We start from the raw sequence: 16622 nt of genomic DNA, 5'->3' as shown, positions 1-16622 counted from the left end.
CTGTCCAGCTTGGTCTAGAGATTTCTTTGAAACCTGACTAAAATGTTGGTACTGACTGCCAGGGACCAGTTGAAAGAGAAGTGGCCAGGCTCAACTACGAACCAATCAATGGGGCCCAAATGATACCATCTATAAAAGATCAGCTTTTTGGGGTCCCAGAGCAGGGTGGATAATGGATCCGGAAGAGCAAATGGGGAATGCCCAGCAGAGCATGCAAAAGGCTCAGCAATGTGCTGAGCACATAGTTAGTGATCAAAACAATGAATGGAAGAAGCCAAGAATAAATGAAGAAAAATTTTAAAAAATAAACTGAGTCAGGCACAGTGGCTCACACTTGTAATCCCAGCACTTTGGGAGGCCGAAGTGGGAAGATCGCTTGAGCCGGGGAGTTTGAGACCAGCCTGGGCAACATAGGAAGACCCTGTCCCTACAAAATTAAAAAAAAAAAATTAGCTGGGTCTGATGGTGCGCACCTGTGCTCCTAGCTATTCGGGAGGCTGAGGTGGGAGGATTACTTGAGCCTGGGAGGTCCAGGCTGCAATGGAGTTGTGATCACGCCACTACACTCCAGCCTGGGTGACAGAGTGAGAACCTGATTAAAAAAAAAAAAAAGCCCACAAAACTTTGCTTTTGTCTTACCTAATCTTCATAACATGTTAAGGTTGGTCCTGTTCTTAAATGGTGTATGTCTACTAGATATTGGCTGAATTATTGAATATATCTTAGACTCTTCTGAGAAACTTTATATGTGGCAAAATGCAAAAAGGCAGTCTTCCCACTTAATTGCACAACATCCGTGCGGTTTGGACAAAATACAGGCTGCACTTACAAATGTTATTTCTGGCCGGGCACAGTGGCTCACGCCTGTAATCCCAGCACTTTAGGAGGCCGAGGCGGGCGGATTACGAGGTCAGGAGATGGAGACCATCCTGGCTAACACGGTGAAACCCCGTCTCTACCAAAAATACAAAATAATTAGCCAGGCGTGGTGGCGGGCGCCTGTAGTCCCAGCTACTCGGGAGGCTGAGGCAGGAGAATGGTGTGAACCTGGGAGGCGGAGCTTGCAGTGAGCCGCCACTGCACTCCAGCCTGCACTCCAACCTGGGCAACAGAGCGAGACTCCGTCTCAAAAAAAAAAAGTAAACAAAAAACAAAAACAAATGTTATTTCCAACAAAGGAGTCTTGTAAGATACTAGCACTCCAACTATTGTGTCCGTGTCATATGGACGCAACCCTCAAGGTTAACTTTTTAGGTAAGTCTGCAATTCTATTTTGGTGTCTTTTAAGACAACATGTTGCCTTGGTATTAACATTAAATAGATATCTCTATTTTTAGAAGGTATAAATAATGGGGATTTTCTCTGAAAGCCAGAAAAGGATTATTGGCATGTCTCTCTTGCCCCATGTGTTTAGAGTCAAAATCACTTATAGCACTGCTGGATTTTCTGATGGAAACAAGGAGTAAGAGCCTGCTTTTCATTTATCATAGGGTGGGATGTGCAAACCATTAGCCTGGAGTTTGGAATCGATCCTAAGGACACTGGGGCAAAGGTTTAGACAGGGGTATGATGTGGTCAGATGCCTCTGTCTTGGTCCTGGGGAGAGCTTTGGATGGAAAGATACTGGAAGCAAGGAGATCAAAAAGGAGGTCCTTGCCATAGTCCTGGGGAGAACTTTCTTTTTTGTTTATTCATTCTTCCATTCAACAAATATAAAGTATATGCTAGGCAGTCTACATAAATTAATTCTTATAATCTGCATAAAAACCCTATGAGGTAGTATCTTAGTCCATTTTTCTGTTGCTATAATCAAATACCCAAGACTGGGTAATTTATAAAGAAATTTGAGAGGCTGAGGTGGGAGGATTGCTTTGAGGCCAGTTCAAAACAGCCTCAGCAACATAGCAAGACCCTGTCTCTACAAAAAAATTTAAAAATTAGCTGAGCATGGCAGTATGCCTGTAGTACTAGCTACTTAGGAGGCTGAGGCAGGAGGATTGCTTATGCTCAGAAGTTTGAGGCTGCAGTGAGCTGTGATCATGCCACTACACTCTAGTCTGGGTGACAGAGTGAGACCCTGTCTCTAAAAACAACAACAACAACAACACCCCCCCCCCACCAAAAAAAAAAAAGAAAGAAAAGAAATTTATTTCTTACAGTTCTGGAGGCTGGGAAGTCCATGGTCAAGGAGTCACATCTGGTGAGGGCCTTCTGCTGGTGGGGCCTCTCTGTGGAGTGGCGAGGCAGAGCAGGGCATCACATGGTAAGGGTGCTGACCTTGCTAGCTCAGATCTGTTTCTCCTCTTAGAAAACCACTAATGCCCCACCCTTATGACCTCATCTAATCTAATCCTAATTACCGCTCAAGGTCCCATCTCTCAAATACCGTAGTCAGATTTCCCACCTCCTTAATTCTGTTAAAAAAGAGATTTAGTTTCAACATGAGTTTTGGAGGGGAGAAACATTCGAACCATAGCAGGTAGGTGTTATTACTCTAAGCATTCTACAGATTAGAGTACTGAAAGCCAGGGAGAAACAAGCTCAAGGTCAAAGGGGGTAGTGTCACAGAGAGTAGGCAGTGCAATGGATGGAACTTGGGGCTATGCCTGTTGTGTTTGAGGAAAAGCAAGGAAGTCAGCATGCCTTTAAGTAGAGTGAATGATAGGTGAGTGACAGCAGACGAGGTGAGAATAGAGTGAGATCATGCAGGGCTTTGACCTTAACAGTGAGGCATTTCTCCAAAGCTATATACTGTAGGCCTAAGCAGAGCCAGGATTTGAACTGAAGTCCACAGGTCACTTGATATTTCTTTTTTTGAGACGGAGTTTTGTTCTTGTTGCCCAGGCTTGAGTGCAATGGTGCAGTCTCAGCTCACTGCAACCTCTGCCTCCCGGGTTCAAGTGATTCTCCTGCCCCAGCCTCCCAAGTAGCTGGGATTACAGGTGCCTGGCACCACACCTGGCTAATTTTTTTGTATTTTTAGTGCAGAAGGGGTTTCACCATGTTGGCCAGGCTGGTCTTGAACTCCCAACCCTCAGGTGATCTGCCCGCCTCAGCCTCCCAAAGTGTTGGGATTACAGGAGTGAGCCACTGTGCCCGGCCTTACAGAGGTCACTTGAAGCCAGTCTACAGGTATCTGTGGTTTTATTATTTATTCTTTTCCATCTCTTCAAAACTTCTCAAGTACCCAGTTGTTTTATGATGGAGGGTCTATAAGGTAATGATAGACGGCAGGATGAGTGATGGGGGTCTGTAGAGTAAGTGAGGGGTGTCTGTTGGGTGAATAATAGCAGGTCTGTGGAGAGTGACGGAGGATCCCTGGGGTGGATGGGAGTCTGTGGGTACATGATAGGTGCACTATGAGGTAAGTCATGGGGGTCTGAGGGGTGAATGATGGCATCTGTGGGTGAGTGATGGGGTGTATATGGTGGATTGTGGAGGACCGTGAGTTGAGAGATGGGATGGTGGTGTGAGTGATAAGGGGTCTGTGGGATGAGAGATGGACTCTGTGGGTTGAGTGATGGCTTCTGCAAGGTGAGTTATGGGATGCTTATAGGGTTAGTAAAGGGGCATCTGTAGGATGAGTGGTGGGTCTGTGGTGTCAGTGATAGGGGTTGTTAGGGTGACTGATGAGGGGCTTCTGGGGTGAGTTATGGGATCTTCAGAGTGAAGATTTTGGGGGTGATAGGGGCCTGTGGGGGTGAGTGATGGGGTTGAGGTCTGTGTGGTGAGTTACGGGGTTTCTGTGGGGTCAATAATGGGCAATCTGTGAAACGAATGAATGTGTGTTGGTAGGGAGAGTGATGGGTATCTTAGGAGTTGATGGGGTATGTGGGAAGAGTGATGGGGGATCTGTGGGGTGGCTTATCAGAAGCCAAGAGGCTGAGTGATGGAATATATGTGGTAGGAGTGTTGGGGGCTCTGTGAGGTGAGAGCTGTGGCATCTGTGGGGTGAGTGATGGGGAGTGTCATGAACTGAATGATGTCCTCCTCCCCAAATTCATATGTTGAAGCCCTAATATCAGGGGAACCAGCCCCCAATATTTCAACATAATGTCACTATATCTGAAATAGAGCCTTTAAGGAGGTAATTAAGGTTAAATGAGATTATAAGGGTGGGGCCCTAATTCAGTAGAACTGGTATCCTTATAAGAAGAGGGACACTGGGCATGAGTGCACAGAGAAAGGGCCACGTGAGGACACAGCAAGAAGGTAGCCATCTGCAAGCCAAGGAGAGAAACCCCACCAGACACCAACCCTGATGGCACCTTGCACTTGGACTGTCCAACCTCCCGAAGTGTGAGAAACTGTTTGTTGTTTAAGCCACCTGGTCTGTGGCATTTTGTTACGGAAGCCAGAGCCGACTAACACAGGGGAGGATTAGGGTCTGTGGGGTTAGCGATGGGGCCTCTCTGGAAGGTATGATCAGGGGATAATAAACTGAGTAATAGGGATCTGTGGGGTAGTGACGGGGTCTGTAGGGTCATGAGGAGCCTGTGGAGTGAATGGGGTATTGAGTGGCGAGTGGCAGGATTCTGTGGGATTAATGATGGGGGCTGTGGGGCAAGTCTGTAGGGGGAGTGAAGGAGGACTTTGAGGAATGGGGGATCTGTAGATGGCTGATGAGGATCTATGGGGTGACGGGGGCATCTGTGGGGTGGGGGAATGACTGGGGGTCTGTAGGGGTGCTGATGTGCTAGCTCATAAGGTGAGAGGGCTTTGTGGTGTGAGAGATGGAGGGCCTGTGAGATGAGTGGGAGGCACCTGTGGGGTTAGTAATGGGGTGTCAATGGGATGAGTGATTAGAGCTCTGTAGAGTCAGTGATGAGTGAGTCTGTAGAGTGAGTGAAGTGATTAGGGGCCAATAAGCTGAATGATCCAGGGGTGGAGTCTGTTGGATGAGTAATGTGGCTCTGTGAGGTGAATGACGTGAATATGTAGGGTTCACGATAGGGCCTGTGGGGTGAGTGATGGGGGATCTTTAGGGTTTGTGATGGGAAGTCTATAGGGTGGGTGTTGGGGGGGTCCATGTGGCAGCAATGCAGGGGAATCTGTGGGCTGAGTAATCAGGGCATGTGATGGGGGTTTGTGGGGTGAATGATGGAAGATCTGTGAGGCTAAGTATTAGGGAGTGAGTGGGGTGAGCACAGAGCGGTATTACTGACTGAATGGTATCTCCCCAAAATTCATGCTGAAGCCCTAACCCCCAATACTTCAGAATGTGACTGTATTTGAAAATAGGGCCTTTCAAGAGGTGATTAAGTTAAAATGAAGTTGGTGAAGGCGGGTCCCAATCCACTCTGGCTGGTGTCCCTATAAGAAGAGATTAGGACACCGACATGCGCAGGCAGAGGGAAGACTGTGTGAGGACATGGCGAGAAGGTGACCATCTACAAGCCTCAGGGGACACTAAACTGGTTGACACCTTGAACTTGGATTTTCCGCCTCCAGAACTCTGAGGAAATAAATTTCTGTTGTTTAAGCCACCAGGTATGTGGCATTTTGTTATGGCAGTTTTAGAAAACTGACACAGATTTTGGTCCTGGGAAGTGGGGTGCTGCCATAATAAATACCTAAAACATGGAAGTAGCTTTGGAACTGGGTAATGGGTAGAGGCTGAAAGAGTTTTGAGGTGCATGTTAGAAAAAGCCTATGTTGCTGCTATGATCTTAATATTTGTGTCCCCCCAACCTCCAATTCCTATGTTGAAACCTAATCCCCAGTGTAATGATATTAGGAGGTGGGGCCTTTGGGAGGTGATTAGGTCATTCCCTTATAAGGGATGAAGGGACCGGAGTTCTACCCTCCCACCATATAAGGGTACAGAGGGAAGGAGCCATCTGTGAGGAAGCAGGCCCTCACTAGACACTGAATTTGCCAACACCTTGATTTTGGACTTCCCAGACCCCAGAACTGTGAGAAATAAATTTCAGTTGCCTATAAGCTACCCAGTTTATAGTATTTTGTCAGAGCAGTCCAAATGACTAAGACAATTATCTTGAAGGCTACTGGTAGAAATATGGATGTTGAAAGTGCTTCTGGTGAGGCCTCAGAAGGAAATGAGGAATATGTTATTGGAAAATGGAGGGAAGGCAAAGAACTTGGTTAATTGTATTCTAGTGTTTTGTGGAAGGTAGAACTTGTGAGAGGCGAACTTGGGAGATTTAGCTAAGGAGATTTCTAAGCAGCATATTATGTGGCCTTTTTCTCCTTGCTGCTTCTAGTAGAATGCAAGAGGAAAGAGAGAAATTGCAAAAGAAATTGTCAGGCAGAAGGGAACTCGAATGTGAAGATAAAAAAGTTCTCAGCCTATCCAACACTGCAAAAGCTGAGAATGTGTTCTGGTGAGAAGACAAAGGGTGTGGCTAAACAATCATGCCACAAAGAGATCATGGGTGTGACTCACTGACCTAATCAGCCATCTTGGCAGAAGCCAGGAATACAGATGGGTAATACCAGCAGAAACACGGCCAGCTGGGACTAAAGAGGACAGAGATGGGACAAAATGAAAGAAGACTGTAGGACTTCTGGGATTCAACAGGACACGACAACAGAGCTTTCTGGCTGTGAACATGCATTATACTTCAAGAAAAAGGGAGAATGATCCCAAAGGTGGGGCTGTCTCCTCCTCAGTTCCAGAGGGCAAAGAGGCCTCCTCTGTTTCAGTGGGCCAGGCTGCCACCCAGGGCTCAGGGAGAGACACCGCCTCTCCAGTGAACCAGGAAAGTGGGGCCCCCAATCTGGTGGGCCCAGAGGACAGAACATAGAGCCAAACAGGATTATTCTCAAGCCTTAAAAATCTAATAGAATTTGCCCTATTTGGTTTCAAACTTATTCGGAACCTGTGATCCCTGTTTTTTCTCCTGAGACAGGGTCTTGCTCTGTCGCCCAGTCTGGGGTGCACTGGTGAGAAGAGGGCTCACTGCAGCCTCGACCTCCTGGGCTTAATCAATCCTCCCACCTCAGCCTCCTGAGGAGCTGGGACTATAGGCATGTACCACCATACCTGGCTAATTTTTTAGTTTTTTGTAGAGGCGGGGTTTCACCATGTAGCCCAGGGTGGTCTCAAATACCTGGGCTCAAGTGACCCTCCCATCTCAGCCTCCCAAAATGCTGGGATTACATGCGTGAGTCACCACGCCTGGACTGTGATCCCTTTCTTCTTTGTGATTTCTCCTTTTTGGAATGGAAATATCTATCTAGCTTATGCTTGTCCTACCACTGAATTTTGGAAGCAGATGATTTATCTGGTTTCACGGGTTCACAGCTAGAGAAGAATTTTTGCATCAGGATGAATCATACCTCCAGTCTCATTTACACTTGATTTGGATGATATTTAGGTAAGACTTGGGACTGAAAGTTAATGCTAGACTTGATTAAGAGCTTTCAGAGTGGCTTATGGCACAGTGAATTATGCCTATAATCCCAACACTTTGGGAGGCTGAGGTGGGTGGATCATCTGAGGCCAGGAGTTCAAGACCAGCCAGGCCAACATAGTGAAACCCTGTGGTTGCAGTGACCTGAGATCGTGCCGTTGCACTCCAGCCTGGGCCACAGAGCAAGACCCTGTCTCCAAAAAAACAAAAGAGAGTTTTGGGCTGCTGGGATGGGGGTGAAGGTATTTTGCATGCAAGGACATGAATTCTGGGAGGCCAGAGAGAGCAGAATGTTATAGACTGAACTGTGTCCTCCCCAAATTCATATGTTAAAGCCCTAACCCCCAATACCACAGAATGTGACTATATTTGGAGATAGGGACTTTAAAAGGGTGGTTAAGTTAAAATGGGACTCATAGAGTGGGCCTAATCCAATACAAATGGTGCCCCCCACTTTTTTTTTTGGGACAGAGTCTCACTCTGTTGCCCAGACTGGAGTGCAGTAGTGCCATGATGTTGGCTCACTGCCACCTCAACTTCCCAGGTTCAAGTGATTCTCCTGCCTCAGCCTCCCAAGTAGCTGGGATTACAGGCATGTGCCACCATGCATGGCTAATTTTTGTATTTTTAGTAGAGATGGAGTTTTACCATGTTGGCCAGGCTGGTCTCAAACTCCTGACCTCAGGTGATCCACTTGTGTCAGCCTGGGATTATAGGCATGAGCCACTGTGCCTGACTGGTGCCCACCCCCCACCTCCTTTTTTTTTTTAAGACAGGCTCTCACCGTGATCATGGCTCACTGCAGCCTACACCTCCCTAGCTCAGATGATCCTCCCACCGTGGCCTCATGATGCCCAGCTAATTTTCAAAATTTTTTTTGTAGAGATGGGGTTTCACCATGTTGCCCAGGCTGGTCAAATGGTGTCCTCATAAAAGGAAATTTGGGCTAGGCATGGTAGTTCACACCTGTAGTCTCAGCTACTTGGGAGGCTGAGGTGGGAGGACCACTTGAGCCTAGGAGTTTGAGATCAGCTTGGGCAACATAGTGAGACCCCATCTCTACAAAAAATTGAAAAAATATTGCCGGACATGGTGGTTCACACCTGTAATCCTGGCACTTTGGGAGGCAGAGGCGGGTAGATCACCTGAGGTCGGGAGTTCGCGACCAGCTTGACCAACATGGAGAAACCCCGTCTCTACTAAAAATACAAAATTAGCTGAGCATGGTGGCACATGCCTGTGATCCCACCTACCCGGGAGGCTGAGGCAGGAGAATTGCTTTAACCCAGGAGGCAGAGGTTGTGGTGAGCCAAGATCGTGCCATTGCACTCCAGCCTGGGCAACAAGAGTGAAACTCCGTCTCAAAAAAAAAAAACAAAACAAAAATTAGGTATAATGGCATGTGCCTGTTGTCCCAGTTACTTGGAAGGTTGAGGTGGGAGGATCACTTGAGCCCAGGTGTTTGAGACCAGCCTGGGCAACATAGTGAGAGTCCATTGCTATAAAAAAAAATAAATATAGCCATGTGTGGTAGTGCACACCTGTAGTCCCAGCTACTTAGGAGGCTGAGGCAGGAGGATCGCTGGAGCCAGGGAGGTAGAGGCTGCAGTGAACCATGATCATACCACTGCACTCCAGCCTGACACAGAGCGAGGCCCTGTCTCAAAAAAAAAAAAAAAAAAAGGAAATTTGGACACACAGAGAGACACCAGGGACAGGGACGCTAGTTCATAGAGACCATGTGAGGACACTGAGAAGGTGGCCACCTGCAAGCTACGGACAGGGGCCTCAGGAGAAGTCAAACCTGCTGACACCTTGATCTTGGACTCCAGAACTGTGAGAAAATGAACTTCGGTGGTTTAAGCCTAGTCTGTGGCATTCTGTTATGGCAGCTCGAGTTAAGACCAGGGGACTGTGGGGCCAGTGATAGGGTCTGTGTAGTGAGTTATGGGGTCTGGCGGGGGGTCAGTGATAGGGGTTTGTGAGGTCAGAGGTGGGAGGTCTTTAGATGCTGATGGGGGTCTGGAATAAGTGAATGATGGTGGGATCTGTGGGGTCAGTCATAGCGCATCTCTGGGGTTAGTAATTAAGGATCTCTCAGTGTTAGAGTCAAGATCTTTTATTTCCTGATTTTAAAAATCGTCACCATCATAGACCTCCTGGCTTCTCTTGTATCTGTGTTCTAATGGCTCCCAGCAGTGCCTTCACACAGCCCCTTTATTCCCCTTCTTGTGCCTGCCCATGAGCCTGAGTGTGACAGATCAATTAGCTTTGTCCCTCCAAACTGTGGGAGCAGGACTAGACTCTTCTGGCAGGCAGAGAGCTCCTCCTCGGCCAGTGTTCGAGCCTGGTCCACCACTCCTCAGTTCTTCTTGCTCTTGGCTTTTGTGGCCTTGGCATCCAGCGTGCTCTGGGCATGAGTGAGGTGCTTCACAGCATCAAGCACAAGGACTCCAGGCAGCACCAGCCACAGGGCATTCATGAAGACAAAGTAAAACCAGAAGTAGAGAGGGTGGCCCAGCTCTCCGTGCTGGAATCCGTCGCGGTGCTCTGTCAGGAAGTAGAGCACATCCCCATAGATCTGGCCTGTGGGTGGCAGGAGGGGAAGGAGAAGCCCCAGTGAGGAAGGGGACACTTTCGCCAATTCTCTATTCCAAAGCACTTTCCAAGTCATCATTCAAGGTCTCAGAGCTAAGTATTCTGAAATCACAGAGCTGAAAATCTGAGAAATCAGAAAAGTGAGATTCCAGACACCAGAGAGCTGAGAATTTCAGAACTCAGGAGAGCTCACACCTTCAGATTTAAGGAAGTTCAAAATCCTCAAATCCAAGACAGCTTAGGATTCTGGGACTAAAGATAACTCATATCGCTAGAACTAAAGAAAGCTAACAATTTAATAACACAAGATGACTGAGGCCGGGCACAGTGGCTCACACCTGTAATCCCAGTACTTCGGGAGGCCAAGCCAGGAGGACTGTTTGAGCTCAGGAGCTTGAGACCAGCCTGGGCAACATGGCGAAACCCCATCTCTACTAAAAATACAAAAGTTAGCCAGGCACGGTGGCACATGCCTGTAGTCCCAGCTACTCAGGAGACTGAGGCAGGAAGATCGCTTGAGTCTGGGAGGTGGAGGTTGCAGTGAGCCGAGATCACACCATAGCACTCTGGCCTGGGTGACAGAGCCAGACCCTGTTTTAAAAAAAATATGACAGAATCTTACATGAAGGGATCTCAGAGCCCTGATCCTGGAGGTTCCAGGGGCTTCTTGCCACCCTGGGCCACCTCATGTAACCTTCACAGGAGACTTTGTGATGGAGAAGGAGGAGGAGGAAGAAAAATGAACCCTCCCCACCTGAGAGTGCAGGCTCAGAGAAGGGCATGACCTTTCCAGAGCCTCAGGGGGTTTGTCATTCAGTCTGACTTACCCCTGGAAGGGCACCGTTGAGAGATCCCACCCACAGGGATACATCTGTGTCTGTGGATCCCCCATCAACCCCTCTAGTGCCCAGTGCCCCTCTAGTGCCCTTTCCTTACCCACAGAGACCACAAGCTGTAGAATGAAGCGGAGGGGATGCTGGCGGAGAAAGGCGATCACCACCCACAGGCTGAGTGGTCCCCACAGGCAAGCTGTGATGGTTTCCATGCACACTGTGAAGTTGTCACCCCTGCAGGAGAAAGCATGAGGGGACACTGGTATCGGTGTGCTCTTCCTACAGGTTAGCCCATTAGTGCTCCCCAACTCACCACCCCCCGAAAACCAATGCCAGTCTCCATTGACAGAGGCAAACACTTACAGGATGTATCGGCTGTCTCCCTTGGCATACTCTTTCCCTGAAGAAAAGAAGAGAGAGATATGAAGAATAAAGGCAGTGAAAGGAACACACACTTGTGAGAGCTGGGGGTCCCTGCAAGAAGACAGACTTCATAACCTTCCCATGCGTCTGCTTCCTCATCCGTGAAATGGGGTAACTGTTTGGATTCTAGTGGTTTATTTCTCTAAAACAAGGTAATATGTGTAAAGCCTGACACAAAACAGTGTGGCTGTGATTGGTACTCAAGAAGTGTGTGTGGTATAAAAGGAAGCAGGTGTAGATGATGGAGTGAGTGAAGTAGCCAATGAGAGAGAGAGAATGTAGGTGAACAGATGAGTGAATACAAGAGTGAGCAGAGAATCAGAAAGAAAAAGACCGCCGGGCACGATGGCTCATGCCTGTAATCCCAACACTTTGGGAGGCTGAGGTGGGATGATGGCTTGCATAAAGGAGTTCAAGACCAGTCTGAACAATATAGTGAGACCCCCAACTCTATAAAACATACAAAAATTAGCTGGACGTGGTGGCACGTGCCTACAGTCCCAGGCTGCAGTGGGAGGATGTCTTGAGCCCAGGAGGTTGAGGCTGCAGTGAGCTATGATAGCACCACAGTGCTCAGCCTGGACAACAGGGTAAGACCCTGTCTCAAAAAAAAAAAAAAAAAAGAAAGAAAGAAAAAGATCATCCAATATAAAATAGGCAGAAGACTTGAATAGGTTCTTCACAAAGAGGATTTCTAAATGGCCAATAAGTATATGAAAGATGTTCAAACTTCCATTAGTCACTAAGGAAAAGCAAATTAAAACCATAATGAGATATCACTCACATCTACTGGAATGACTAAAATTTAAGAAACATCTGACCAGCCGGGCACAATGGCTCATGCCTGTAATGTTTTTTTTTTTTTTTTTTTTTTTTGAGACGGAGCCTTGCTCTTATCGCTCAGGCTGGAGTGTGCAGTGGCGCAATCTCAGCTCACCACAACCTCCGCCTCCCAGGTCCCAGAGATTCTCCTGCCTCAGCCTCCTGAGTAGCTGGGATTACAGGCACCTGCCACCACGCCCAGCTAATTTTTAGACTTTTAGTAGAGACGGGGTTTCACTATGTTGGCCAGACTGGTCTCAAACTCCTGACCTCAGGTGATCTGCCCGCCTTCGCCTCACAAAGTGCTGGGATTACAGGCATGAGCCACTCTGCCCGGCCTTGTTTATAATGGCAGAAGATTGAGGGAAAATGCCCATCAATACTACACAAGTCAAGCAACTGTACAATGTCCATGCTTTGAAAGCTCTTTATGAAATCATGAGGAGTGACCTCATTAAAAAAAGCAGCTGGGTGCGGTGGCTCATGCTTGTAATCCTAGCACTTTGGGAGGCTGAGGTGGGCAGATCACTTGAAGCCAGGAGTTGGAGAACAGCCTGGGCAACAAAGCAAGACGCCATCTCTTAAAAAAAAAAGTTGTTAAAAAAAAAATAACTTGGTGGGGTGGCACATGCCTATAATCCCAGCTACTAGGGAGGCTGAGGCAGGAGGATTGCTTGATTGCCCAGGAGTTCAAGGTTGCAGTGAGCTATAATCATGCCACTGCACTCTAGCCTGGGTGACAGAGCGAGACCCCGTCTCAAAAAAGAAAATGGCTTCTTTGGTTTTCTTGTAAGGAAAGAAAGAAAAAGAGAAAAGATTAGAAGTATATATAGCATATTACCATTTGTGTAAAAAGGGAAAAGTGCAAATAATGATAATAATAGTGAACAGTTACATGGCAACCACTGTTTGCCAAACACTGTTCTAAGTATCTTACATATAGTTGGTTATTACTATTATCCTCCTTTTACAATTGAGCAAATTGAGACTTACGTGTGTAAATAAACTGAAAAGAAACATAAACAACTATCAACAGTGCCTAACAGCGTTTGGGGAAACTTAGTGGATAGAAAGCAGATTTTCACTGCAAATCTCTTTAAATGGTTTTTTGACCCACGTGAATATACATGCAACAAAAAAGTTAAATAAGGCTGGGCACGGTGGTGCGCACCTGTCATCCCAGAATTTTGGGAGGCTGAGGTGGAAGGATTGCTTGAGCCCAGGAGTTAAAGAACAGCCTGAGCAACATAGCAAGACCTTGTCTCTACAAAAAAGTGAAAATATTAGCCAGGCATAAAGGTGTGCACCTATAGTATAGTCCCAGCTACTGGGGAGGCTGAGGCAAGACGATCGCTTGAACCCAGGAGTTGGAGGTTGCAGTGAGCAATCATCATACCACTGCACTCCAGCCTGGGCAACAGAGCAAGACCTTGTCTCAAAAATAAGTTATCTACCAGTTTTAGAGAAGGGCAAAAAACAAAAAGAATAATAATAACAATACATAATAATTTTTTTTTTGAGACAAAGTCTCACTCTGTTGCCCAGGCTGGAGTGCAATGGCATGGTCTTGGCTCACTGCAACCTCCGCCTCCCAGGTTCAAGCAATTCTCCTGCCTCAGCCTCCCTAGTAGCTGGGATTACAGGCGTGTGCCACCACACCCGGCTAATTTTTGTATTTTTAGTAGAGATGGGGTTTCATCATCTTGGCCTGGCTGGTCTTCAACTCCCGACCTCGTGATCTGCCTGCCTCGGCCTCCCAAAGTGCTGGGATTACAGGCTTGAGCCACCGCGCCTGGCTAATTTTTGTATTTTTAGTAGAGATGGGGTTTTGCCATGTTGACCAGGCTGGTCTCAAATTCCTGACCTCAAGTGATCCACCTGCCTCGGCCTCCCAAAGTGCTGGGATTACAAGCGTGAGCCACTGTGCCCGGCCTATAATAAATTTTTTAAAAGATTAAATAAAAATTTAAAATAAATCAATGGAAGAAGAATAGGTGGATAGGTAAACATGCAAGCCGATCCCTGCCCAGCAAATCCCATCCCACAGCATATGAAAGAAATCAGGACTCACAGAGTTGAGATAAGAAGGCTTGGTCTCCAAGCAGGTCTTCGTAGTAGAGAACGAACCAGCCCTCGATCACCAGGTGAATGAACCCACACACTGCAAACCAGCACAGGGACAGTCGCCGCCAAGTCCCCAATGGGACAACCGCAGCACGACCTGACAACAGCCATGTGGTCACGACTAAGACCCCTGTGACAGAGAAGAGGCCAGCCAGTATATGCCAGGTGGGGCGGTCATTAGGTACAAAGTTGTCCAGTCTTAGGTGCTGAGGCCAGTATGGGTGCAAGGGGCCCGCGTTGGTAGTCATGTCTTTGTGGGCTGATGGCTGCGTGTGTATAGGCAGGAAGTTAAAAAAAAAAAAAAAAAAGGAACAGAAAAACCTGGACAAATAGAAAGTACAGAATGAGATAATAAAATCAAATTCAAATAGTTTATTATCATGAGAAATGTAAATGGACCGAATTTACCAGTTAACAGACAGGATTGTAACACTTCTAATTACATTCCGTTTTTTTTTTTTTTTTTCAGACGGAGTCTTGCTCTGTCACCCAGGCTGGAGTGGAGTGGTGCGACCTCGGCTCACTGCAACCTCTGCCTTCCGGGTTCAAACGATTCTCCTGCCTCAGCCTCCCGAGTAGCTGGGACTACAGGTGCCTGCCACCACGCCCAGCTAATTTTTTGTATTTTTAGTAGAGACGGGGTTTCACCGTGTTAGCCAGGATGGTCTTGATCTCCTGACCTCACGATCCGCCCGCCTCAGCCTCCCAAAGTGCTGGGATTACAGGCGTGAGCCACTGCGCCCGGCCTACATTCTGTTTTAAGACCATGACTAAAGGCCAGGCACCGTGGCAGGTAATTCCAGTGCTTTGGGAGGCTGATGCAGGAGCAGCACCTGAGGCCAGGAATTCAAGTCCGGCCTGGGCAACACAGCGAAACTGTCTCTAAAAAAATAAGAAAATCAGTCAGGTGTGGTGACAAAGGCCTGTAGTCCCAGCTAGTAGGTAGGCTGAGGCAGGAGGATCGCTTTGAGCCCAGGACTTCAAGGCTGAAGTGAGCAGTGACCACATCACTGCCCTCCAGTCTGAGACTCTGCCTCTAAAAAAGAAGGCCGGGCGCGGTGGCTCACGCCTGTAATCCCAGCACTTTGGGAGGCCAAGACGAGTGGACCACTTGAGCTCAGGAGTTCAAGACCAGCCCGGCCAACATGGCAAAACCCCGTCTCTACTAAAAATACAAAAATTAGCCAGGTGTGGTGGCGTGCGCCTGTAGTTACAGCTACTCAGGAGGCTGAGGCAGGAGAATCGCTTGAACCTGGGAGGCAGAGGCTGCAGTGAGCCGGGGTCATGCCACTGCACTCCAGCCTGGGCAACAGAGCGAGACTCTGTCTCAAAATAAAATAAAAAAGAAAAGAAAAAGAACATGACTGAAACACAAGGCCACAGAAAGGCTGAAAGCTTGTTCCAGCCCTTTAGAAGCCATATTATGATGTGGTAGAAACAGTCCCGGTCTCAGCCCTCGGGGGTCAAAGTCTGGTGGGAGGCACATGGGAACAACACCTGATCCCAGCCCTCCCTGGTCACAGTCTGGCGAGGGAGATACAGGACCAGGCCTGGTGTCTTCCTTCAAGGGTCACAAACTGCTCACGACCACCAAACCCAGTCCTGTGCTCCGGGGTCACGGTTTGGTAAGAGACACAGGAACCAGGCGTGGTCCAGTTGCACAGGTCAGCGTCTTAAACCGTTCAACAAAAAGCTATTCCCTCCCCCACGTAGTCCTGAAAACTGCAACTGGGGGACAGAGGAAAGAAAACGAATCAGAACTACAACCCTCGGTGCCAGCGTTTGGAAAGCCAGAGCCTCCCCGCGAGAGCGTGCAACGCCGTCAACCTGCAGGGAAGAGACGGATATTGAAAGGCCGGTGTCTGGCGTGCAGCGCTAGAACGGAACACAAAGCCGGTCAATCCGAACCAGAACCCTCCAGTCCCGCTGCCCAATGAGAAGACGGATCTTCTGTCCTCTGGACAACCGTGCGGTAGCTGGGGGTCTCGCGCAGGCGCAAAAGGGCGGTGGGGGGGGCGGGTGGCAAAGGGTCTCGCGCTGGCACGCCGAGGGCTGGCCGCGTAGCCGGGGAGAGCTGGGGGAGGGAGCAGGGGCCGGGTGGAGGGCACTCACCAAGGCGCGCGACGGCAGCGGCCTCCCACGCTGGCTCCGGGCTCTCTTTAGGCTGGGTCTCGCGCTCTGTCACATCCCTAGTTCGGGCTCATCCCCTAGTGGGTTCTCTTGCCTTACGGAGCGAGCCAATGGTGAAGCGAAGAAGGCGGCCCGTGCCGCTCCCAACCAATAGACACTCTCTTTGTACCTCTAGCCCCGCCCCCGCGCGTGGCGCCATTTTCACCTGAGTTAGGTTTGGGGTGGAGACTGGGACGCGCCAAGGTTAGTGGGCGTTTTGGATCCGTAGCCAATCTGCATCGAGTCCTGGCTTCAATTTCCCCATTCCCTTATCAGT

General features: G+C 48.4%; 1 protein-coding gene across 1 annotated transcript, besides 3 other annotated features; it reads right to left on the bottom strand.

Annotated features, from left to right (window-relative positions):
* Positions 6215 to 6584: a transcriptional cis regulatory region, noted in NCBI's record as "candidate enhancer chrX.929 targeted for multiplex CRISPR interference". NCBI's record gives its function as "positively regulates EBP gene expression with high confidence in K562 cells {active_cell/tissue: K562}" and the evidence as "EXISTENCE:mutant phenotype evidence [ECO:0000015][PMID:30612741]".
* EBP (EBP cholestenol delta-isomerase) lies at positions 9480 to 16388 on the bottom strand. The gene is made up of 5 exons (NM_006579.3): positions 16289 to 16388; positions 14124 to 14497; positions 11171 to 11207; positions 10911 to 11041; positions 9480 to 9962 (listed from the first exon to the last, which is right to left on the bottom strand). The coding sequence occupies exons 2-5, from the start codon at positions 14422 to 14424 to the stop codon at positions 9739 to 9741; spliced, it is 693 nt and encodes a 230-aa protein (NP_006570.1). The 5' UTR covers positions 14425 to 14497; positions 16289 to 16388; the 3' UTR covers positions 9480 to 9738.
* Positions 16104 to 16283: a silencer, noted in NCBI's record as "silent region_20817". NCBI's record gives its function as "represses an Ori minimal core promoter by ATAC-STARR-seq in GM12878 lymphoblastoid cells {active_cell/tissue: GM12878}" and the evidence as "EXISTENCE:reporter gene assay evidence [ECO:0000049][PMID:35858748]".
* Positions 16344 to 16573: a silencer, noted in NCBI's record as "silent region_20816". NCBI's record gives its function as "represses an Ori minimal core promoter by ATAC-STARR-seq in GM12878 lymphoblastoid cells {active_cell/tissue: GM12878}" and the evidence as "EXISTENCE:reporter gene assay evidence [ECO:0000049][PMID:35858748]".

This window comes from Homo sapiens, chromosome X (genome assembly GCF_000001405.40).
Source record: "Homo sapiens chromosome X, GRCh38.p14 Primary Assembly".
In the NCBI taxonomy this organism is placed as follows: domain Eukaryota; kingdom Metazoa; phylum Chordata; class Mammalia; order Primates; family Hominidae; genus Homo; species Homo sapiens.
This window is presented reverse-complemented; position numbering and strand designations above follow the sequence as displayed.